Below are 23,266 nucleotides of genomic sequence, written 5' to 3' on the forward strand. Positions count from 1 at the left end.
TCAGTATAGAGAACCAACATGATGTTCTGAGGAATGCCCAGATAGCCCCAGTTCTTTCAGACAGAGTGGAGGAATTAACAAAGCCCTGAGGCAGGACTGTAAATGCATATTGTTGTTTATTTCACACAAATGGGAACTGCATACAATAATCCTTTTGATAACTAGAAAAGAATGTATTTGCCAGATCAGTGGCTGCATACCATGTTATTTTGCTCCAGCAAAGATTCTACATGAGATTGCTGCAAGAGGGTACAACTTGGTCAAGCTATCCAATTTTTATAAAGGCCAGAATGATTAATTAAATTAAGAAATGACAGAGACCACTGCCTGTGCATTCTTAATATCTTTAAAGGTGTCATTAATGTCTACTATTTTCCCTAGAATGTATTATTGATGTTGATTTATTATCTTTGCTAAGGGATTAAAAAGGCTGTTTTGATGGCTTCCAGTTGGCATTTCACACTCTGATACCTCTTAACCACAGGCCAATAAACCAGTGTGAGGGTTCTACTAACTATCAAACATGTTCATTACAGTTATAAACTCAGGGGCCAGGGAAGTAACCATTATGTAGGTCCACTGACTGAATGGATTCACTGTGAATGGATCTGAGTCAAAATGCCACTTATTACGAGACAACCATGTGTCTTCATTCTAATGGTGAGTCATAATGGCATTTTGGGTCAGGCATCAATGCCAGTTCAGATCTTGTGACCAACAATTTTGAAAGGTCTAGGTATTCTCTTTTTCCTAATGCACACAAGTAAATAGGCATAGGCCTCTTTGGGTAAAGAATGGGGCAATTACTGCTAAAGATACCTGTGACACTGTTGCAGACCGTGTGGCAGAGTCCCTTCTCATAAAGACCTAACCTCTCCATCAGTTAGTGGGTTCCAGATCTGAGAACTGCATAAGGTCTCGAAACTTTTAGTAAGACAGCTATCAGCCCCTGACCATCCATCTCCACAGCTCTCTGCAGGTTGGGCCACAAGACTGCCTCTTCAACATTGCAATTCCTTGTAATAACTGCCTACCTACTTCTGATTGTTAGGCGCTGCCACCTATCCTCTATTATGTTGAGATCTTATCAGCTCCACTGTGCTCAGAGAGCCCAGTATTCTCACAGCATCTCCTGTCATCAGTCCTGGCCAACAGAGGTCAGGCACTACTGGTCTTCCCAGCATTGCTGCTGTTCCTCTCTCAGGCACATTCCTTATTGTCAAACACAGGGTCCTCCAGACCCTCCAATGGAGCAGAGCCAGCTGAGGGGTTTTTGGCCTTACATTATATATCCACTCTAGCACATCTGATACTCTGAGACTTTTGATTCCTTCCTCCACCATGTGGCAGGAAAGTTCTGTCTCAACTTGACTTAATATGGACCATCACATTTTCCAAGCTTAAAGAGCCATCCTAGCAGCATATAAGCACTGTACCCAGAGTCCTTGCCAGGGTGTTTAATCCTGTATTATGGGAGAGTGCTCCTGTATGAATAACTCCCCCTTATCCAACTGTATACTCCACTGCTCCCTAAGCCAGAACCCTCAAGAACAAGACCCATGCATACTTTTCCACCCTTGCTGATCTCTATAATCCAGATCCTGCAACTCCTTTGATGTATAGTCTGTCTCCTCCCTTGGCTGGCCCAACCTATCCTCACTCAGGCTGTGCTGAGGATTTACCAGCATCATTTGAATGCCAGGAATAAAAAGAGGGTAGATCTTGGGGGTGGGGGTAGGTGTAACTATTTCCCTCATTGTCAAGACTTCTGCATATTATTTAAGCTAAGTAGAGCCACTATTTTCTCACAAGGGAAGGTAGGTCACTTTGCAAGTCCAGCAGATTTAAGAAAATTGAGGATTTCAAAGTTTACAACCTCATCTACCCAGGTATCCACAGCTCAAGTCTCAGGATTCCATTTTTCTTCTATCTGGGCCCTAACACTGTCTCAGGAGAATTGCCAGAATGTGAGTTTAACATTCTCTGAAGCTCCACTCTTCTTATGATTAAATCCTGAGCCTGGTCCTCCGCTCTGTCTGCCCTCCAGCTGCAAGAGATTAGGATTTCCTTAAATATTGCCAAGGAGGCCCTCCAGTTTCCACATTTTGTCTTGAATTGGTAATCACCTGAGCCCATCATTATCCCTCTTTGATGAATGTGTTGCTCAGTAACACCGCCCAATTCCAAAGTCACTGCAATTACAATTCCCTCTACTTCTTAAGAACCAGAGATATTGCACCAGCCAGTCTGTCTCCTTCCACCAATATCCCAACCCAATTTACCACTAGTAAAAGTTTTAACAATTACACCAGTAAGATACAGCAAGGAATGTCCATATTTCACTTAGAAATAGTCATGGGGTCCTCATTGTCATTCAGCTGGCAAAAGATTTTTCTCTTAGAATCTATTTCCTATGACCACTCCTGGTTCCAACTGTCTTCAACTGGCTTCCTTGGAAATAGACTCTGAAAATGAACCATTGCATGCAGAAGATATTTTTAGAAATGTTTTTGGAAGACACACCTGTTAGGAAGTGAAAAAGGTAGGATTGGGCAGGGTGAGAAGCTGGCCCACATGAGGTTACAACAGAACTCCAGAGGCTTCACAGTGAACTCTGGAACTCAGAAGGCCTTTCAGAATTGTCCCATAATGAACCACGGAGGACAGGCTTATGACAACCTACAGAAGCAAATCATTGGTTGCAAGTGACCCTTGGAAGGAAATGTAACATTGAGTGAGACAGTTTTCTGCTGCTGAGGGCAATTTCCAGCAAAGGGAGCTGCTTTGAGCCATCAGCAGCTGTTAATCCCAAAAGCAGGGCATTGGGTATGTCAGCCTTAAGGAGGGAATCTGGGCAGAGCACCGCAATACACACTACATATATCTTGTTTTATTTATATTCCAGCTGTGTTCAGCCAAGAGTTTCAATCCAGATTGGTTTCCTGCTTCCAGAAGAACTACACAGAAGGAACTGAACCTCGCAGAGATTAAGCCTTGCCCTGAGGTCAAATGAGTTGGTGAGTGACAGAGACAGCAGGATCAGGCAGGCAAGTAGGGTAGCTCATTATTGAGGAAATGGTGAAGTCATAGTCTTCTGTCACAGGATCCAAGCTACGTACAGGAAGTCTCTAGAAGAGCCTCAGCATTTAGAATTCAAAAGACTTAGGAAGCTCATTGTCACAGCAGCAATGGAAGGACTTTGGCACAATTTCTCAAGCACCTGCAAGAGGGTTTCAGCTTGTTTTTAAAGAGAAACAGCTCAAGCCAAATTGCCCAATCCATCCTTCAAGAAGAGACTGATTGTCATTAAAAGGCTACTGCTAGTCTCTGTCTAGAACACTCCAATGTCTGCCTTCTGAGAGCATTCATGTTGCCTCGTGTCCTACAGGGCACCCAATGGGTGTTAAATATCTAGAAATCTCCAGTCTCAGGCCCTGCTTAATTTTTTCTTCATTTTCTCAGTGTTAGGCAGACATCAGGATCACTCTCAAGTGGGTGACATGAGCCACTGTTCTTACTCCAGGAAAAGGTGCATGCAACATTTTTCTTTGACTACAGCGTACTGAGATGTCTTTGGAAGAAGATCCACATATATTACCACAACTGCTACCAGATATTCCTTCAAAGCATGTAAAAATGGAATTAGTCCCAGAGTTTGCCAGAGATCGAGTTTCAATGGCCAGGCTTCACCTCCAAATCATTGTGGTCCATTCATCCATTCACTTAATTGGTGCTAATGAAGCTCAGAACTACTGATTTGGTTGAAATGTGGACCAGTTAGCCCTGTTCTCATCTCTGATTATATGGGCTCTAATCCCAAACCCAGGCATCTTGATCCCAGATGCAGACTGGGTTGTGGTGGAACAGATGGGGCATGTGAATGGACCACAAATGAAAATCATAGGCCAAGTCACCCTTCTGATAGCAAGCCAACTATCTTAACCTCCACAGGGAGATACAATCACTATGAGGGAATATGAGTACTTAATAATCACTTGTGAAATTAATGGACAAACTCCTTAAATGGAGTAATTATACTCTGCATTTCACAGGTCTACCCACGGCTTCTCTGTTTCCGTGTTAAACTAGAAATTGATGCTGAGCAGAGCTTTCCCTCCTCCTCATCCACTGGCAGGAAACATATCATGTCTCAGCACACCAGGGGATACCCGGTGACTTGCTGGGGAGCGTGAGCTGGAGCAGGTCCTATGACAGCATGCGCCACTTTGCCTTAATAAAAATTACCAAACTTAAAACAGATGACAGCTGCAGATGCTGAGAAACTGAAACATATAAACTATCTCTTTTTCTTGGAATTTTTTTCTCATTGGGTGGGTCTTTTTTTTTTTTGCCCAACTGGTGTGTGTGTGTGTGTGTGTGTGTGTGTGTGTGTGTGTGTGTGCACGTGTCGTCCATGTGTTAATGAAGACGGTGGGAGGCCTTTGGCCGGGTGTGCACCAGCTGTAGCCTGAAGAAACAGCTCCCCGGACACTGACCAGACTTGATTAAATGGTGGGGTGGTCTGTTCTAGAAGAATCCACCTCACACAGGGGGTCTCCTTTGATTATTTCTACTTTTGTCATCAGAAGGACACTTGGGAACCATGTCTATTTTCCTGAATCTTCCTGTGTTGCATCACTTCCCCGTTTGGCACTTTCTTTTTCCCCAGGTCACTCTATCAGTCAACTATATTTATTAAAACCCTACCATAGTTAGAATACCTCCATTAGATTCCGCAAAATAAGCAAGACGCTCCCTGCCTATGAGAAGCACACAGACTGCTTTAGGAGAAATCACGCACAAGCATGAGGCCACTTGACACTGTGTGAAAGTAGCGACGTACCGCAGTGTAAAACATCATTATAAAGCGAACGGAGGGCAACGAAGCACAGGCCAAAACAGAGCTGAGCAACATTCACGAAAACAGGCCTCCTAGGAGAGGCAAACTGTGAAGAAATTATTGTTAACGCCTCCACGTACTATATCCCATGCTGAAAATAATACATCCAATGATTAAGCTCCTTTGATTCTACCTTCAAATTTCCTTTTGTGATATTTCTCAAACCTGTTTTTCCTCTCCCACCAGCAGGCCATAAATTGCTTTGCTTCTGTCACATATTTTAACTGGCCTGCAGGTGTCCAGCCTCTCTTCCATTTCACCTTGGCAATGTATGATTGTCACATTTTCTTTGTAAAGTGGAATTACTTCAAATAAATCATTGGCCTGTTCAAGAACCAATAACAACTTCATGGTGATTCTTAGGAGAAGGCAGAAGGACTGCACTCATAGACCCCAGATGTAACCTACATATAAGTAATCTTTTAACAGCCAAACAGTATTTAACACTCTTATTAAATTATTGTTATTACAATTTAGTGAATCGTTTAGTAAATTGTATGTATTTGCTTTTATAGAGTTGGTTTAATCACTTACAGATAATTATTTGAGTTCTGAATTAATACCTTTAAACCATGAACCTGATTTGGATAGAGGTAAAAATTGGAATCATTAGCCTAGTGCTCTAAGTAGAGGAAAGATAGGATATGTTGTTCAAATCTACATGTTTAGCCTTTACCCACATCCCTGCCAACTAGCTCAATGGTAAATAGATGAGGCAACAATCAGGAAAGATCTCAGGCTAAAGGAACTATGATTTAAATTAACATCATATTCCATAACTTCCACAGCAAAGCAAGTAACATCATCTTCCTTCACTCTGTAAATTTTTTCTTACTTGCTTTTTGAGAGATAGAAGTGAATCTCCCCAAGGACTACTAGTGGCAAATAAACTACATCAATAAGAGTGGACAAACAAGCAAGAAGAGTTGGAAACCTTTTTGAAAAAGCAAATAATGAGGGAGAACTAATCCTGTCAGAAATTATACTAGAAAAATAAAATAATGAAAACAGTGTGGTACTGGTTCATAAATAAAAATCCATAATAATGAAACAAAAAAGGTCAAAAATAGATCTAATTACCTATGGAAATTTAGTATATGTAAAGGTGACATTTTAAACTAGTAATAAAAAGATGTTGCTCAGATGAATAAACAGCCCTTTCAGAAAAAAATATGACTTATTTTCCTACCTCACCTCTAATTTCAAAACAAAGTTCAGATAAATATAAGATTTAAATATATTTTAAAATGGAGTGAAAATACAAATATATATATATATATAGTTTGGTGGGGGGACGGAGTCTCGCTCTGTCGCCAGGCTAGAGTCCAGTGGCACAATCTCGGCTCACTGCAACCTCCACCTCCCAGGTTCAAGCGATTCCCCTGCCTCAGCCTCCTGAGTAGCTGGAACTACAGTCATGTGCCACCACGCCCGGCTAATTTTTTGTATTTTAGTAGAGACAGGGTTTCACCATGTTGGCCAGGATGATCTCGATCTCCTGACCTTGTGATCCACCTGCCTCGGCCTCCCAAAGTGCTGGGATTACAGGCGTGAGCCACCGTGCCTGGACACAGATATATTTTTTAAAGTTCAAGAAGAAAATATGCAATCATTTTTTTTAAACAGAATGTAGGGGCAGCTGTTTTGGACAACAGTTTGTTAGGTAAAGATAGCTGTGTGACTCAACAATTTCACTCTTAGGAATATAGCCAAGGAAACTGTAAATGTAAGTTCACACAAAAGCATTCATGTATGTGAATGTTTATAGCAACATTATTCAAAATAGGCAAAGAGTGTAAACAACTCTAACGTCCATGAGCTGATGAATCCATAAACAGAATGTGTTATATCCACACAATGATATTATTCAGTCATGAAGAACTGTGAAGTACTGATGTATGCTACAGCATGGATGGACCTTGAAAACTCTACGCTAAGTAAAAGGAGTCAGACACAAAAGGCTACATATTGTATGATTCTATTTATATGAAACATCCAGAATAGGCAAATTGTAGAGACAGAGAATAGATTAGTGGTTGCCAGGGACTGGAAGCAGGGATGAATGCTCTGTGACTGCTATTGGGTACATGGTTTCTTTAGGGGCTGATGAAAATATTCTGGAATTAGTGGTGATGGTTGTATAGCCTTGGGAATACCCCAAAAACCACTTTAAAAAATATAATTGACATAGTTTAAACAGGACATCTTAATAGAAAATTTTTAAATGCACTTGACTGAATGAAAATAAAAATGCACATAACAAAATTCACTGGACAGAGCTAAAACAATGCTAAAACATTTATAGCACTAAACTGTAGCATTAAAAACAGCAAGAGTCTCAAATCAATAATCTAATCCCCCACCTAAAGAATCTAGAAAAGACCAAGATGAACTCAAAGGTATAAAAGAAAAATAATAAAGATAAGTGTAGAAATCAATAAAATTGAAAACAGAAAAAATAATGGGGAAAATCAATCAAACAAAAAGCTAATTATTTGAAAAGAATAATAAAATTGACAAAACACCAGCAAAACTGACAATTAAAAAAAAAGAGAAGATATGAATTACCAATGTCAGGAATGAAACAGGAAAGCACTACAGACCCTGTGAGAGGTGACAGCGTGCTGGCAGTCCTCACAGCCGTCGCTCGCTCTCGGCGCCTCCTCTGCCTGGGCTCCCACTTTGGCGGCACTTGAGGAGCCCTTCAGCCCACCGCTGCACTATGGGAGCCCCTTTCTGGGCTGGCCAAGGCCAGAGCCTACTCCCTCAGCTTGCCGGGAGGTGTGGAGGGAGAGGCGTGAGCGGGAACCAGGGCTGCGGGCGGCGCTTGCGGGCCAGCGGGAGTTCCGGGTGGGCGTGGCCTTGGCGAGCTCTGCACTCTGAGCAGCCCGCCGGCCCTGCCGGCCCCAGGCAATGAGGGGCTTAGCACCCGGGCCAGCGGCTGTGGAGGGTGTACTGGGTCCCCCAGCAGTGCCAGCCCACTGGCGCTGCGCTCGATTTCTCGCCGGGCCTTAGCTGCCTTCCCGTGGGGCACGGCTTGGGACCTGCAGCCCGCCATGCCTGAGCCTCCCACCCGCTCCGTGGGCTCCTGTGCGGCCCGAGCCTCCTCCACGAGGGCCACCCCCTGCTCCACTGGTGCCCGGTCCCATTGACCACCCAAGGGCTGAGGAGTGCAGGCGCATGGCATGGGACTGGCAGGCAGCTCCACCTGCAGCCCCGGTGCAGGATCCACTGGGTGAAGCCAGCTGGGCTCGTGAGTCTGGTGGGGCCTTGGAGAACCTTTATGTCTAGCTCAGGGATTGTAAATACACCAATGGGCACTCTGTATCTAGCTCAAGGTTTGTAAACACACCAATCAGCACCCTGTGTTTAGCTCAGGGTTTGTGAGTGCACCAATCCACACTCTGTATCTAGCTGCTCTGGTGGGGCCTTGGAGAACCTTTGTGTCCATACTCTGTATCTAATCTGATGGGGACGTGGAGAACCTTTGTATCTAGCTCAGGGATTGTAAAGGCACCAATCAGTGCCCTGTCAAAACAGACCACTGGGCTCTACCAATCAGCAGGACGTGGGTGGGGCCAGATAAGAGAATAAAAGCAGGCTGCCGGAGCCAGCAGTGGCAACCCGCTCGGGTCCCCTTCCACACTGTGGAAGGTTTGTTCTTTTGCTCTTTGCAATAAATCTTGCTACTGCTCACTCTTTGGGTCCACACTGCTTTTATGAGCTGTAACACTCACCGGGAAGGTCTGCAGCTTCACTCCTGAAGCCAGAGAGACCACGAGCCCACCGGGAGGAAGGAACAACTCCAGACGCCCCGCCTTAAGAGCTGTAACACTGACGGAGAACGTCTGCAGCTTCACTCCTGAGCCAGTGAGACCACGAACCCACCAGAAGGAAGAAACTCCGAACACATCGGAACATCAGAAGGCACAAACTCCAGACACGCCACCTTAAGAGCTGTAACACTCACCGCAAGGGTCCGCGGCTTCATTCTTGAAGTCAGTGAGACCAAGAACCCACCAATTCCGGACACACACCTGGAGACATAAAAAGATAAGAATACTATGAACAACTTTACACACATAAATTTGAAAACTTAAAAAAATGAATAAATTCTTGGAAAAGCACAAACTTCCTTAATTTATCCAATATGAAATACGTAATTTGAATAGTCCTATCATAATAAGGAAATTGAATTCAAAATTTTAAAATTCAAAAAAGAAATCTCCAGGCCCAGATAGTTTCACTGAATATTCTATTAAACATTTAAAGAATTAACAAAGTTTCTTTCCATCTATTTCAGAAAGTAGAAGAGGAGGAACTTTCCTAGGTGTTTTGTGAACTAGTATTACCTTGATCCCAAAGCCAGACAGCATAAACAAAGGAAACTACAGACCACTATACCTCAAGAATACAAACACAAAAATTCTTAATAAAATATTATGAAATAGAATTCAGCAATATGTAAAAAGAATTGTAGATCATGACCAAGTGGGTTAATTCCAGAGATGTAAGGCTTGCTCAATATTTGAAAACCAATCTATTTAATCCACTATACTGAGAGGCAAAGGAATAAAAATGACACAATGATATCTACTGATGGCAGAAAAAGCAGTTGATAAAATTCAATACCCCTTTATGATAAAAACTCTCCGAAAGTTAGGAATAAGGGAAACTTCCTAAACATGATAAGATCATTGACAAAGCCTACAGCTAATACCGTATACTCAGCGAGGACAAATTGAACTCTTTTTCTTTAAGATCCAGAACAAGGAAATAATATCTACTTTTATTCAACGCAGTACTGGAAGTTCTAGCCACTGGATAAGGCAAGAAAGGTAAGTGAAAACAATACTGATTGGAATGGACAAATAAAAATGTCTCTATTTGCAGATTACATAATTGTCTATGTACAAAATCCCAATAAATCTATCCCCCAAAATTCTAAAGCTGATAAGGATATAAGATAAACATCAAATTAAATTAAAACCACAGTGAGATATCACTACGCACCTATCAAAATGACTAAAATAAAAAGTAGTGACATCAAACGGATGCAGAGAAACTGAATCACTCATAAAATGGTACAGCCACCCTGGAAAACAGTTGGGCAGTTTCTAAAAAAAGTTAAACATACACTTACAGACAACTTACATTTCTTTCTTCACTTTAACATGACTGGTACATTTCTATATTTCATTTCATATAAGCACAGTCTACATAGAATGGCAAGATTTAAAAGACGATATACACTATTTAGAGAAAGGTTTCAAGAAATACAGAAAATATCCTTTCATTGCTCTCAACTACTGCTTAATCTCTTCTGCTCTGGTTGCCAGCTTTAAATAATTTAATTGACCCTACATCTTCCTTAGCTTGCCTTAGACTAGTCAAGTCGCTACTATACCTTGAGAATCTCCTAGCACATTTCTCAGGTACTGAAACCTCTCAGGCTTTGTTCTACTGTGCTTCTAATGGCTCTGAAAAAGTAACTATATGTGTTTGTTTTCTGTCTATTTCAAGAAAAGATTCATCCCATTTCTATGCCCTTAACACCCATCTATTTTGCTTTTCTTCAGTTTTCCTTTTTATGGTTGGAGGCCCTAAAAGAAAGAACATAATTAGCCTTATTTAATGTTTGCCCAGTGACCTACCTTTGCTAGCCCTTCCACCACACTACACATGTCCCTTCCTGTTCCCACCCTTCCAGCATTTTGAGCTCTGTGCCCTGGAAAAATCCCCTGTGAGCCTTGTAGAATACTCATTCAGCACTTCCCTGGGCAGCACGTCTCATTTTCAAGTTCATGATAAAAACATTTGACTTTTCTATTCTTTGAGGAATCGCCACACTTCTTCAAATTAGTTGAACTAATTTACACTCCCACCAACAGTGTAAAAGCCTCCATGGAATACTATGCAGCCATAAAAAGGAACAAGATCATGTCTTTGCAGGGACATGGATGAGTTTGAAGCCATTATCCTCAGCAAACTAACGCAGGAACAGAAAACCAAACACTGTATGTTCTCACTTATTAGTGGGAGCTGAACAATGAGAACACATGGACACGAATGGGGAACAACACACACTGAGGCCTGTTGGCAAGGAGGAGTTGGGGAAGGGAGAGCATCAGGATAAATAGTTAATGTATGCTGGGCTTAATACCAAGGTTGGGTTGATAGGTGCAGCAAACCACCATGGCACAGGTTTACCTATGTAACAAACCCGCACGTCCTGCACATGTATCCTGGAACTTATAATAAAATTAAATTCAATTTAAAATTTTTAAAAAGACAGATCCCAAAGGAAAAAAATTGACTTTTCTAAAATCCTAGACAATATCAGCACTTTATTTCTTAGTTAACCAGGACATAATAACCTTTTTAAATTGAAATATGGAAAAATAGATTGTAAGTCTATAGGATTTAAATCTGGAAAGAGATTAAATATAATCTATCATTATAAAGAGAGAAAAGTAGCCTGGTTAAGGGCACTCAGAAAGTTTGCAGCAGGGTCAAAAGAAAGTATTTTATCTACACTGTTTTCTGTTGCAAGCTACTAAACACTTTATATTTCAAATGTATATCTTCACTTTGGAATAATAACAGAAATATCCAGGCAAAGCTTCTCAAGGCAATAACCAATCTCTTTCTTATGTGAGCTGAGTCCCAAAGGGTAAACTTTTAGATTTGGAGAAATATATTCATATACTTCAGATTTTTCAATTTATTTTGATTAATATTATAATATTAACTTCCCCTTTTAATTACATGATTTTATAATTATGTTACTTTAAGTTATTTTTATTATAAAACCCAACCTGTTTCATTTATAGTCATAGGTATTCTGTATTAGTAGTATCTATGGGCTTCTGGTATCTTTGGGATCTAAGGCAATCCATGGGAAAATATGAGTCACATTGAAATATTCACTTTATAGTCAACTCTTCAGGAAGGTGAAAGAGGCAAAGGAAGGAATATCTATAAATAAAAACAAACCTACAGCATTAATGATTTAAAAAACAAATCCATATAAATGGAGGATTCAATGTCAGCTCAACTAAATTCAAATATTATAGTCCATAATTCCTTATCTGAAATCTGTGTAGCCATATATACTTCAAAATTCAGAAATTTTTGAATTTTAGAAAGATAATACAGTACATCAGCTGCATATAACATATCACATCAGCAGAGTCTGGCATAGTCTTATATAATTAAGACCATTAATATTTCTGTAGAGAAAATCACAAATATTCACCCTACATATAGTAAATAAGACTATAAAAAGACATCAGATTAAATGAGGTTTCCTACCAAATTTGTTCAGGTCAGCTCAAGTTTTGCTATCAAATAAAGAGGGGAGAAAAAAAATAGTGTTCCAAGTTTTTTTGTACTTCAGAATTGTTTCTAAGAGATTACAGACCTAACGTATTGCCAATGAAAATAATTTTGTCTTGAGACTCTTCATATAATAAATTTACTAAATAATTCTGTATTTTATCATCTTTAAGTTTTGAAGAGGTTCTTTTGGTGTCTGTTTTTTGCTTGTTTGCTTGATTTGGAGAATCTCCAAAAAGAGGTTGTTACTATAGTCTCAGTTTTAATAGTGAATTTGCTTGGCAAATCAAATTATACTTTATATGTGCGTAGAAGTAACATATGGCTGCCTCTATGGCTGTTTAAAGTAACCTTGCCAAGGAAGGTTATTTTATACCTAAGTAACCTATGGCTACTTTGATGGCTGTGTAAAGTAACCTTGCCAAGGAAATGATCATTCCAGAACTGATGTGTTGTGTAAGTGGGGATTTTTGGAGATCAGAATTTCTTAAAGCACTCCCATCTGTACAGTAAAAATCAGCAAAAAGGCAGACCAAAGTTTATGATCTGTAACATAAAGAAAGAAGTAACCATAATTCAGGCATGATTTGCCGACTCTTTTGTTGTAGTCGTTTTGTTGTATTTTTGTTTGTTTGTTTGGAGAGGAAGGATTCCGCATACCACCCACCCTTTCCCCAGCACCAGCATTCTCAGATTGTCAGGATGTAACTACTGTAATTATTGTCAGCGCTCATGGGAGCTTTTGACTCTTCCAATATAATTGAATTTTTTAATTCCCTTCCTTTCTCCAGGGTTGTAATAACATGCACCTTGTTTTATTTGTGTTAGCATTATATTAATAGCTTATTCAATCATTGTAGATATGTGTTATAAATATTTCATATTCTGACATTTAAAAACCAATGTGTTTTTCAAATAGAATGACTCAGGGCTTAAATGCCAGAATGAGCTAAAATTATAAATCCAAAGAGTTTCTCATCTTCTAAAGCAAAGATTACCTAAAATATTTGGAGATTGGCCTTCTGTCACTTAGAAAATCTCAGAAATAATTATTTATATTGTATAAGACTAGATCTTTGAACAATTATTTCACATATATAACGCATTTCTAACAATGTTACTACCACTTGAGAAGTTGAATTTTATGTTGTAATTATAGAAAATACAATTTAGCATTAGAAGAGAATCTGGAGCTCAACCCCTCATTGCACAGGTAAGAGAACTGCAAACAAGTGGGGGTAGAGAGCTGTGTTGAGGTCAGTTAATCAGAGACCAAGCTGAGATCACCAACTCCAGGACTGGTGTTCTCATCAATGCACCATACTTGGTCTTCTATTGCCTTGAGGATGTTCATCTTATATCCCCATTAGAATCACGGCAACTTGATCTTAAGAACTATGTATTAATATTATTCTTCCTTTTCATTTCTCCTATAGCACATTTTATGCCACATATTCTTAGTTTTATGTGTGGAGCTATCATTATTTCAATAAATGCTTGAAATTATCACTAATCAGTCTTTCACTGGGATTTTAACCTACAACGTCCAAGACTTTGTTGTAATTTTTCCAGTTATTTGCATGTATTTTCAAAGAATTCCAGCCTTGACATAGACCACCAGTTGCATATCCCTTTGCACAATGATATGAAAATAAGAACTCAATGCATAAGTAGAAGTCCTTATGTCAAGTGGAAATCATTGATTTTACTCTAACCATGTATCTTTCCAAAGATGAAAAAGTCAGGTAATTAGACAATTTGGAGAAACCCTCTCAATTTGTAGCCTCAGATATGGGTTGAAATTTACTCTAAAAGCTTTGCTGTGGAAGAAAGTGGTGGAGGGTGGGGAAGTCTTTTTGCCTCTATCCAGCACAAACATCACACTTAACATTTTTTTGGTTTTTTGAGGCAGAGTCTCAGGGGTGCACTCTGTCACCCAGGCTGGAGTGCAGTGGCATGATTTCAGCTCACTGCAGCCTTGACCTCCAGGGTTCAAGCAATTCTCCTGCTTTAGCCTCCCAAGTAGTTGGGACTATAGGCATGTGCCACTACACCCAGCTAATTTTTGTATTTTTGGTAGAGATGGGGTTGCACCATGTTGGCCAGGCTGACACTTAACTTTAAGTGAAGAATATGGTTTGTTGTTGTCAGATTCATTATCACAACATTGTATTCTGTGGGAGAATCACAAGAATGATTCATTTAAGCTTTCTAACTCTGTAATATATGAATGAGGACTATCTTTGTTCCTGGTTTGCGATGATCATGGTTTCATCATTAAGAGTTCACTGTGCCTTGAAATGCCAGAAAGGTGACATATTCTGCATCCTTTTTCATGTTCCATTTCTAAGTTAAGCTTAATATTGTATGCCAGAATATACAAGTGTTTCTAGGCATTTTCCCCTGCCTATGGACGGAGAAGCAGATCTTCTTTTCTTTGTAGCAGTGATGACAAATCAGGGAGGAAAAAATATCTTCTAGACTGAAACATCACTCCCAAAAATATCTCACTATTTTAAGTAAAGAATTCTTTCATTACCTTTTAAACCTTTTTATATCGATGTAATTTCAAATATATGGAAATGTTACAAAATAGGTAGGAAAAGGAATTTCCATATATCCTTTACCCAGATTAACAAATTGTTTATATATTTTTTCCCATTTGTTGTCCTTCATTCTCTCAACCATTTGTAAGTTGCAGACATCATGTCCCTTTACTCCTAAACTCTTCAGTATGCCTTTCCTAAGAGCAAGGTCTTTCTCTTATGTAACCACAGTAGACTTACCAAAATCAGGAAAATTAACATTAATATCATGGATTAACAAATTGGCATTACCTTTTAAAAAATAGAATACTGATTTTATAGACTTTGTTGAAGTCTGCTAATTTTAAAATAATGATGGCTTTTAAATGTGATTTCTTTCCCAATTGATTGGGCCTTAATATAAACCCACCACTTTTCTAAATAACATGCTGAACAAGTTATAATTTAAGGCTGATCTAGGGTCTGGTGCCTGTACAGACTCACACATTACTGTGCACTCTGAGAATGCCTTATCAGGCCCACACCAACCACTACAGCTAATATCTATCAACAGATCCCAGAACAGCGGGAAAAGTTGTACAATAACAGGTGGGTCAAACCTTATTAAGTCACTGAAGATCTGTTGGCATAATAACACACTTGATTTCCCTGCTCACATTTTTTTAAGTAGGTAAAATTAAATAAGAAGAATAGAAATTAACTAAATGTGAAAGATATGAAGAGGGTGATTTATGGCAGGGAATTTGAGTACCAGCTGTGACCAAATATGAACCTGAACAAGCCAATCCTTTAAGACAGATCCTGAGTTGTTATCTGGGCCCAAATTTTAAACTGAGACAAGCAGTCATTTGCTGACTTAGGTCACACAGGTTCTCTGAGTTCCCCAAAAACCCACACCTCTATTTAACTTTGGGATTTTCAGAGCTCACCTGAACCAACCCAATCAGTGCTCACCTACCGCAACGATCAGGGCTCAGCTGTATCAATCAATAAGGGCTCAGTAGTATCAACCAATCAGAACTCAGCTATACAGACAAATCAGAACCCAGCTATAGAGACCGATCAGAACTACACAAGTTTGCCAAACCTTAATTTGTATAAATATACCTGATTGGGAACCCTGATGGGAATTTTTGATATAAAACCCAAACCCTCCCATTGTTCTCTGAAACGCACCTTTGTTTTACACCAAAGGCTTCATCTCCTTGGTTTGCAAACTGTTCACTGAAATAAAGTCTCTTTCCTCCAAATTCGCTTTTCAGATAACTTTCGTTCACACAACTAAAAGGGTTGTTTTGTTGTGTTTTGTTTGTTTTGTTTTGTGACAGAGTCTTGCACTCCCAGGCTGGAGTGCAGGGGTGCGATCTCAGCTCACTGAAACCTGCACCGCCTGAGTTCAAGTGATTCTCCTGCTTCAGCCTCGCGAGTAGCTGGGACTACAGGCATGCACCACCACGCCCGGCTAACTTTTTTTATTTTTTGTAGAGATAGGGTTTCACCATGTTGCCCAGACCGGTCTTGAACTCCTGACCTCAAGTGATCCGCCAGCCTCAGCCTCCCAAAGTGCTGAGATTACAGGCATGAGCCGCCGTGCCCCGGTGAGATAATTTCAATTTAGAAACTTAGAAAGTCTCTCTCAAATTTCAGCGTTCACTGACTTCAGATTTTGGTTTTCTCACTACTGTGTTTTTGAATTTTAAATCATGCAGCTCTCAGGGGGTAATTAGTTTATCAAATACTTTATCTTTCAGATTATTACTTTAAATATGCCTAGAATTAGGCATGAACATAATCCTAAAAACAACATTTTTATTTATATCCTACCTTATTCTTAAAATAATGCATAAATGCTTATATAAATACATAAAACAAGAAAAGATGAATTTAAATAATGTTGAACTCGAAGAAAAGGTGACAGAGTTAAGATATAATCCAAAATGAAATTAGGGGACACTGTGGAAATCTCCCTCTCCAGTCTCCTGCTTAGCATATAGTGGTATTAAATAATTATTTGTTGATAATATTAATAAAAGCAAAAATTGATGGAGTGCTTCCCATATACTCAACCCTGATTCTTTTCTTTTTGTTCTTTTTTTTTAATACTTTAAGTTCTGGGATACATGTGCAGAACATGCAGGTTTGTTACATAGGTATACACGTGCCATGGTGGTTTGCTGCACCCATCAACCCGTCATCTATGTTAGGTATTTCTTCTAATGCTATACCTCCCCACAACAGGCCCCAGTGTGCAATGTTCCCTTCCCTGTGTCCATGTGTTCTCATTGTTCAACCCCTACTTATGAGTGAGAATATGTGGTATTTGTTTTTCTGCTCTTGTGTTAGTTTGCTGAGAATTATGGTTTCCAGCTTCATCCATGTCCCTGCAAAGGACATGAATTCATCATTTTTTATGGCTGCATAGTATTCCATGGTGTATATGTGCCACATTTTCTTTATCCAGTCTATCATTGATGGGCATTTGGGTTGGTTCCAAGTCTTTGCTATTGTGACCAGTGCTGCATGTGTCTTTATAGTAGAATGATTTATAATCCTTTGGATATATACCCAGTAATGGGATTGCTGGGTCAAATGGTGTTTCTGGTTTTAGATCCTTAAGGAATCGCCACACTGTCTTCCACAATGGTTGTACTAATTTACACTCTCACCAACAGTGTAAAAGCATTCCTATTTCTCCACAACCTCTCCAGCATCTGTTGTTGCCTGATTTTTAATGATTGCCATTCTAACTGGAGTGAGATGGTATCTCATTGTGGTTTTGATTTGCATTTCTCTAATGACCAGTGATGATGAGCATTTTTTCCATATGTTCGTTGGCCGCATAAATGTCTTCTTTTGAAAAGTGTCTGTTCATATACTTCACCCACTTTTTGATGGGTTTTTTTTTTCTTATAAATTGTTTCTAAGGGCAAAAAAAGTATTGTTTCATTTAATTCTCACATTTATTATTGAGGTAAGTTCTATCATTATCTCCATTGTACAATGCTTACCCTGAGTTTCAGAGGCAAGTTTGTCAATTATGGCAAAGGTGAGCTACCAGCTCAAACAGTCTAATCCTGGGACTTAAACCATGGCACCATGCACCCTCCAACATTAACTGTCTAGAATCCCTGCTTGTGAAAAACTAGGTAGAGGACAAATAAGTCCATCTTAGCATCACTTCAGTTCAGTTGAATAAATAAAAGAATAAATGAATGTGATTTGCCACAAATTTTGTCCTAAGTTTTCTAACATCCAAAACAAAAAGGAGGATAAGTTTAATTTTATGATTCAGAAAAAAGCAAACCAATTTCTTGGGAGAAGAATAAACAATAATTTATCGCTTCCTTGTGCATACAAGATCAGAAGACAAATGAAAAGCCTAACAGTGGAAACACCAAGTACACACAGAAATATAACTGGTCATGTATTTTTCTTTATTAATGGAGAATTTCAAACACACATTAAAATAGAACAGCATAATGAACCCCCATATACTCATCACCCGACTCAAACATTACCAGTTCAAGGCAAATCTGGTTTCTTCTGTACCCACCTCCAGTATATGATTTGAAGCAAATCCAAAATATATCATTTCATTAATTAATATTTCACTATGGATCTCTTAACAATAATTCTACATTTTTCTTAACGTAACCACAATCCCATGACCACATCTAAAAACAAAATAATAATTCCTTAATATCTGCTCAGTGTTTTCATTTGCAATCATCTCTTGAATTTCATCATTTTTAAAACTTGTTTGTTTGTTTGGATCAGCATCCAGATAAGGTCCACACATTGCCATTTATAACAACTTCATTTTAACTTATCAAAATGAGTTTATTTTAATTACAAAATATAATGGAAAGTGTATTAATCCAAGGGTTAAGAAGTCATGTGGCAAAAAGAAGAACTGTGTTCAGGTCCAGTTTCATCTGCTTGACCTTGAACAAGTCACGTTACCTCTGTAAAATGAAAGGGGTGGCAAGATGATTTTCAGTATTTTTTTCAAAGTCATAGTGACTGCTTAGATCCTTCCACTTTACAAGTGAAAGGCTCAAGATCAGAGATTTGAGTGGATCACAGATTTAAATTTATAATAGGATAAGTATGATTCATCAACTCATTCCTAAGTAATATGTCAAAAATCTAAAGCAACATCCCTCAAATTATTTGGAGCCTGCATTTTGCTTCTCTTCAATGACTAATTTCACCCTTAAGCTTTACAGGCCCAATTCTATACAACCCTGATTATCAACAGAAGCAAGTCTAAAGAATTCATTCCTTTGATTATTCGATATACAAATAATGCTTAGCTTCAGTCTCATGATCACTTTCCCTGTAGTTAATCTATCTAGCTGGTAAAGATGGGATGGAAGGAAAAGGGCAAAAAAAATTTTCGTTGAGCCCCTAAACACTTTTCAAAAGTTGTCTCATTTAATCCCTAGGTGGGGTAAAGTGAGATAGTAGAACAGGAATCTGAACGCAACATCACTCTTTCAAAACCTGCGCTCTCTTCTTATTTAGAAAAGAAAAATAGTGGTCTCAACTTCATAGCAATGTTATGAGGATTAAATGAATGTTAAAAAAAAAAAAAACCAACGGCGCCTTGTAAACCATAAAGTGTTATGCCCACATAGAGCAGAGTACATGCTGTCCGAAAGAATATTTTACGTGTAACTTTTAAGATGTCCAGACTCAACATTAGTATATAAGACATATCTGGTTGCTTCTGTGGACTCCCAAATAGAGTTCTAAACCACACACTGGGATATTCTTAAATTCCAGTTTTTTCTCCCTTCCACGCATATCTCCTCCAGCAAACAATGGTTCTGAACCACAACTGTCTTCTCCCTACTTTCCCCAGGACTGCCCAGTGCTATAGAAAAAGAGAAGACATGTCAATTGTTACACACAGCCAGCTGAGCATAGAGCATGAGACATCCAGGGAGTACTTTTCAGGACATTTGATTGCATTAAAATGATCACCCTCTATTTCCATATAAATTGGATTCCTACACAAACAGAAAGCTAGCAGTCATAAACGTTCAGACTCCATCTGGCAAAACCAGCATTATGCATGGACTTCTATACAATAAGGTAAGGGTATTGTCAGATTTGAACCTTCCCCAGAGAAACTGGGACACCAAGCACAATTGGAGGGAAAAGCAGCACACGATAACCTGTAGTGTTCATTTTAAATGGATGACACATGAACTTCAAAGAGCATTTTACAATGCACTGCATAGTCAAGGGTGACTGGAATTCAAAGACAAAACAAACATTTCTATTTTCTAGGTAGGGAGTAAAACAATCGCAGCGACACCCCTCCCTTTGTTAAAGTCAGGATCTGGTATAAAACGTGTAGTGAACATGCAGAGCTCATTATTGTGCTTCCTAGTAAAGTGAACAAAAAGCCTGTTTCTGAAATGATGTTTATTACCATATCGTGTATTCGCTTAAGAGGCTCAACAGCTGCCGTCTAACCACTGTCTTAATGGAAAGCAAATTTAGAACTTTGGAAGTTTTTGGTGGTGTTGAGGATTGGGGGACCAACTGGGAAAGAGGTGTCCTTTCTTTCTTCTTTTCCTTCTTTCTTTCATTATTTTTTTCTTCTATAATTTTGCAAAGATTTTAATGTAGATTTACAGGGTTATTTAACTAAAGCTGTGTAAACCTCAGGCACACCAAGTTTTTTTTTTTTTTAAAGACTAGAGTTTATGCATAGATGAGGAATCTCACTTTTTCCAAATAACTAAATCACTAATTGCTCTGATGTATTATCCTCAAGAGAAACACCAGAAAAAAAGGGTAATTCAATTTATTTTTACAAAACTTTCCAATTTCCCTGAATTCAATGAACACTTAGTTGAAGACTTACTTTTTGAGATGTCTTGGCAGAGTAGTCTTCCAGATTCTCTACAGGAAGCAAAAACAACCTGCTCAGAGTAGGCAACAAAGGTTCAGAAACCCAATCCAAAAATAGACACACAAATGCAAAGTCCAATAATGTCACATCATACAACAGAAGAATGGCCAGGTAGCAGGTGTGGGAGCCAAGTGATACTGGGCCACCTTGGGGAAATAGCACAAACTCTCTGAACAGATGACAGGCAGGTATGGACAGAATAAAGAAGCAGCAGCCTGGGAGTCCCAAAATTGTTATTTGAGGCCCAGAATTTCAATATACACTCCCAAGGTTAAACTTGCAGTTTTTCAATACTGATTCTATAAACCTGTCAAGTTAGATGAAAAGACAAACAGAACAAGGAATGTGCAAGCTGAGTGCAATATTACCAAAAGAAGCCTCTCATGGAAAATCAGCAATTTAATGCATAAGAATTCTTCATATTCCTACAAATGATTGTAGTGGTAACTATCAAAATGACAGTGTGTTTGAGACTAATTGGGTATTATTACATACTTTTGGGAAAACTGATTGAGGCTCCCACATTATGGAACTTTTGAATTTATCCTATTTCCTGATTGCTCATGATTTGTTCTCATGGTCCGACTAAAGTTCTGGATCATCCCAATTACATTTTGTAGTTGGGCACATGTGCAGCACAGCAGTGAACACTGCAGACCTCAAAGGAAAGTCATCCACACGAGATCCATGAAGTGTGCTTCCAGTGTCAAATGCAATTCCTTTTTCAATGGAGACTGGGGTTTTAGAGGTAGTCACTCAAGGCTTTCACTAGCGATTGCCTGAGTGATGATTTCAGTTCTGCTCATCAAGGGCAGACGTGCTTCTAGCCACTCACTCCTGGCACAACCTGACACCCATCCTAATCCGCTCAGCCATATGGATAAGGGTATCAAGTTTATGCTTGTTCATGACCACCTCCCAAAATAGGAGGTCACTGAGAGGGAAAGACGATGTTTGTGAGAAACATCCTCCATTACTCTACACCATGATTAATAATTTCTTAATTGTCTTTTGACATTTTCAGACTTAAGGTAAAGATAGATAACAGGCTACAAGGTTTAGACTTCTCTATTTCCTGTATAATTGTTCATCTGCTTTAAGAATATGCAGTATTTCACTGGGGTTTTTGTTAAGTAGAAGTCTCACTTGTATTGAATGCAGAATTGTCCATTTTTCTACTATTATTATTTAATCATCCTGAAATTCAGAGAAGTTTTAGTCCCTTTCATTTCTCTGCCCCCACTGAGGCGTCATTTAATTCACATGTGAAAGTTTTTAGATCACTGCTATTATAGTTAAACAGGTTTTTTCTAAAAAGCAGTTAAAAACAGTTTATCTTCCACTGGGGAATATGCAGTAAAGATTGGAGCTTGAGTCTAAGTGGGATTCATATATATTTGGGTCTGTGTGGCCAAGTGGTAGGGAAGGACTCTGAAGCCATCTGTCTGTGGCCTGAGGCACCTCCTGGGAGGTCTCACAACCTCAGAGTGTAGCCAAGAGCGTTGGTTGAAGGGGAGGGATAGTGCTGACATTTGTGTTACTGCAGTTTGCCTACCAGCCCAGTATCCACCCTTTTCAACCACGAAAGCAAGAGGATTATGAGTAGAGAAGGGAGGCTTCTTTCTTTGAAAACTCTGCAAAATGTTGGACCACAGAAAGGGTTCTTTTAAGATTCCTGTAGCCAACTATAGGACAGCACTCTCCCACATCACCATACGTCACTGCATAGCTGGGCACCTCAGGAATTCATAACAATGCCAGGCAGAACAGGCATGGTGCCTGGAAGAGTGGGGGTGGAGGTTATGCTAAGCACATGCACAAAACCCACAGGGACTCATAGGAGCATCTGAGAAGAGAGGGGCATACATCACCAAGTAAAGGAAAGAGCCAGCAAAATCTGAGCTTTGATGATATTACGAGCCATCTATACCCACAGGTGGGGAGACTAGAAAAGACCAGTTTACACTGATTGGTGTTCTGTAGGAGTTCTGTTCTGCCCCTGGCCAATTAGAGATATTGATCGGTGAACTAGGTAAAAAAGAAAAAATATGGGCGGGGCGCGGTGGCTCATACCTGTAATCCCAACACTTTGGGAGGCCGAGGCAGGCAGACCAGCTGAGGTCAGAAGTTCGAGACCAGCCTGGCCAACATGGTGACACCCCATCTCTACTAAAAATAGAAAAATCATCTGGGCATGTTGGCGTGAGCCTGTAGTCCCAGCTACTCAAGAGGCTGAGGCAGGAAAATTGCTTGAACCCAGGAGGGAAAGGTTGCAGTGACGTGAGATTGCACCACTGCACTCCAGCCTGGGCAACAGAGCGAGACTCCATCTAAAAATAAATAAACAAACAAACAAACAAATAAAGAAAAAATATGCTACTTATTTTCCACTGATTTTGAAGCTTAGAATTCAGGATTAGGATTCAACACAATCGTAAAAAATTAGTGGTGGGCCCACTACACTTACCTGGAATTCAGTGCTACTGTATGGTAAGTAGGTGGATTGGTAACAGGTTTTCAAAAAGTTCTACAGAAAAGCCCAGCTAAAGAAAT

General features: G+C 39.5%; 1 long non-coding RNA gene across 4 annotated transcripts in view, besides 1 other annotated feature; it reads right to left on the reverse strand.

The window, feature by feature from the left end:
* HEY2-AS1 (HEY2 antisense RNA 1) overlaps window positions 1–23,266 on the reverse strand; it is a 171,898-nt gene that overhangs the window by 59,236 nt on the left and 89,396 nt on the right. For 2 of the 4 annotated variants that reach the window (NR_183491.1, NR_183498.1), the window contains 2 exons: window positions 20,666–20,703; window positions 8,871–8,937 (listed from right to left, as the gene is read on the reverse strand). This is a non-coding gene — a long non-coding RNA (HEY2 antisense RNA 1). The remainder of the gene's footprint in view (window positions 1–8,870; window positions 8,938–20,665; window positions 20,704–23,266) is intronic. The other 2 variants (NR_183490.1, NR_183500.1) reach the window with 1 other exon arrangement.
* Window positions 2,787–2,987: a silencer, noted in NCBI's record as "peak6111 fragment used in MPRA reporter construct". NCBI's record gives its function as "represses an SCP1 promoter by STARR-seq MPRAs in K562 erythroleukemia cells {active_cell/tissue: K562}" and the evidence as "EXISTENCE:reporter gene assay evidence [ECO:0000049][PMID:32103011]".

The sequence above is a fragment of the Homo sapiens genome, chromosome 6 (genome assembly GCF_000001405.40).
Source record: "Homo sapiens chromosome 6, GRCh38.p14 Primary Assembly".
NCBI lineage: Eukaryota > Metazoa > Chordata > Mammalia > Primates > Hominidae > Homo > Homo sapiens.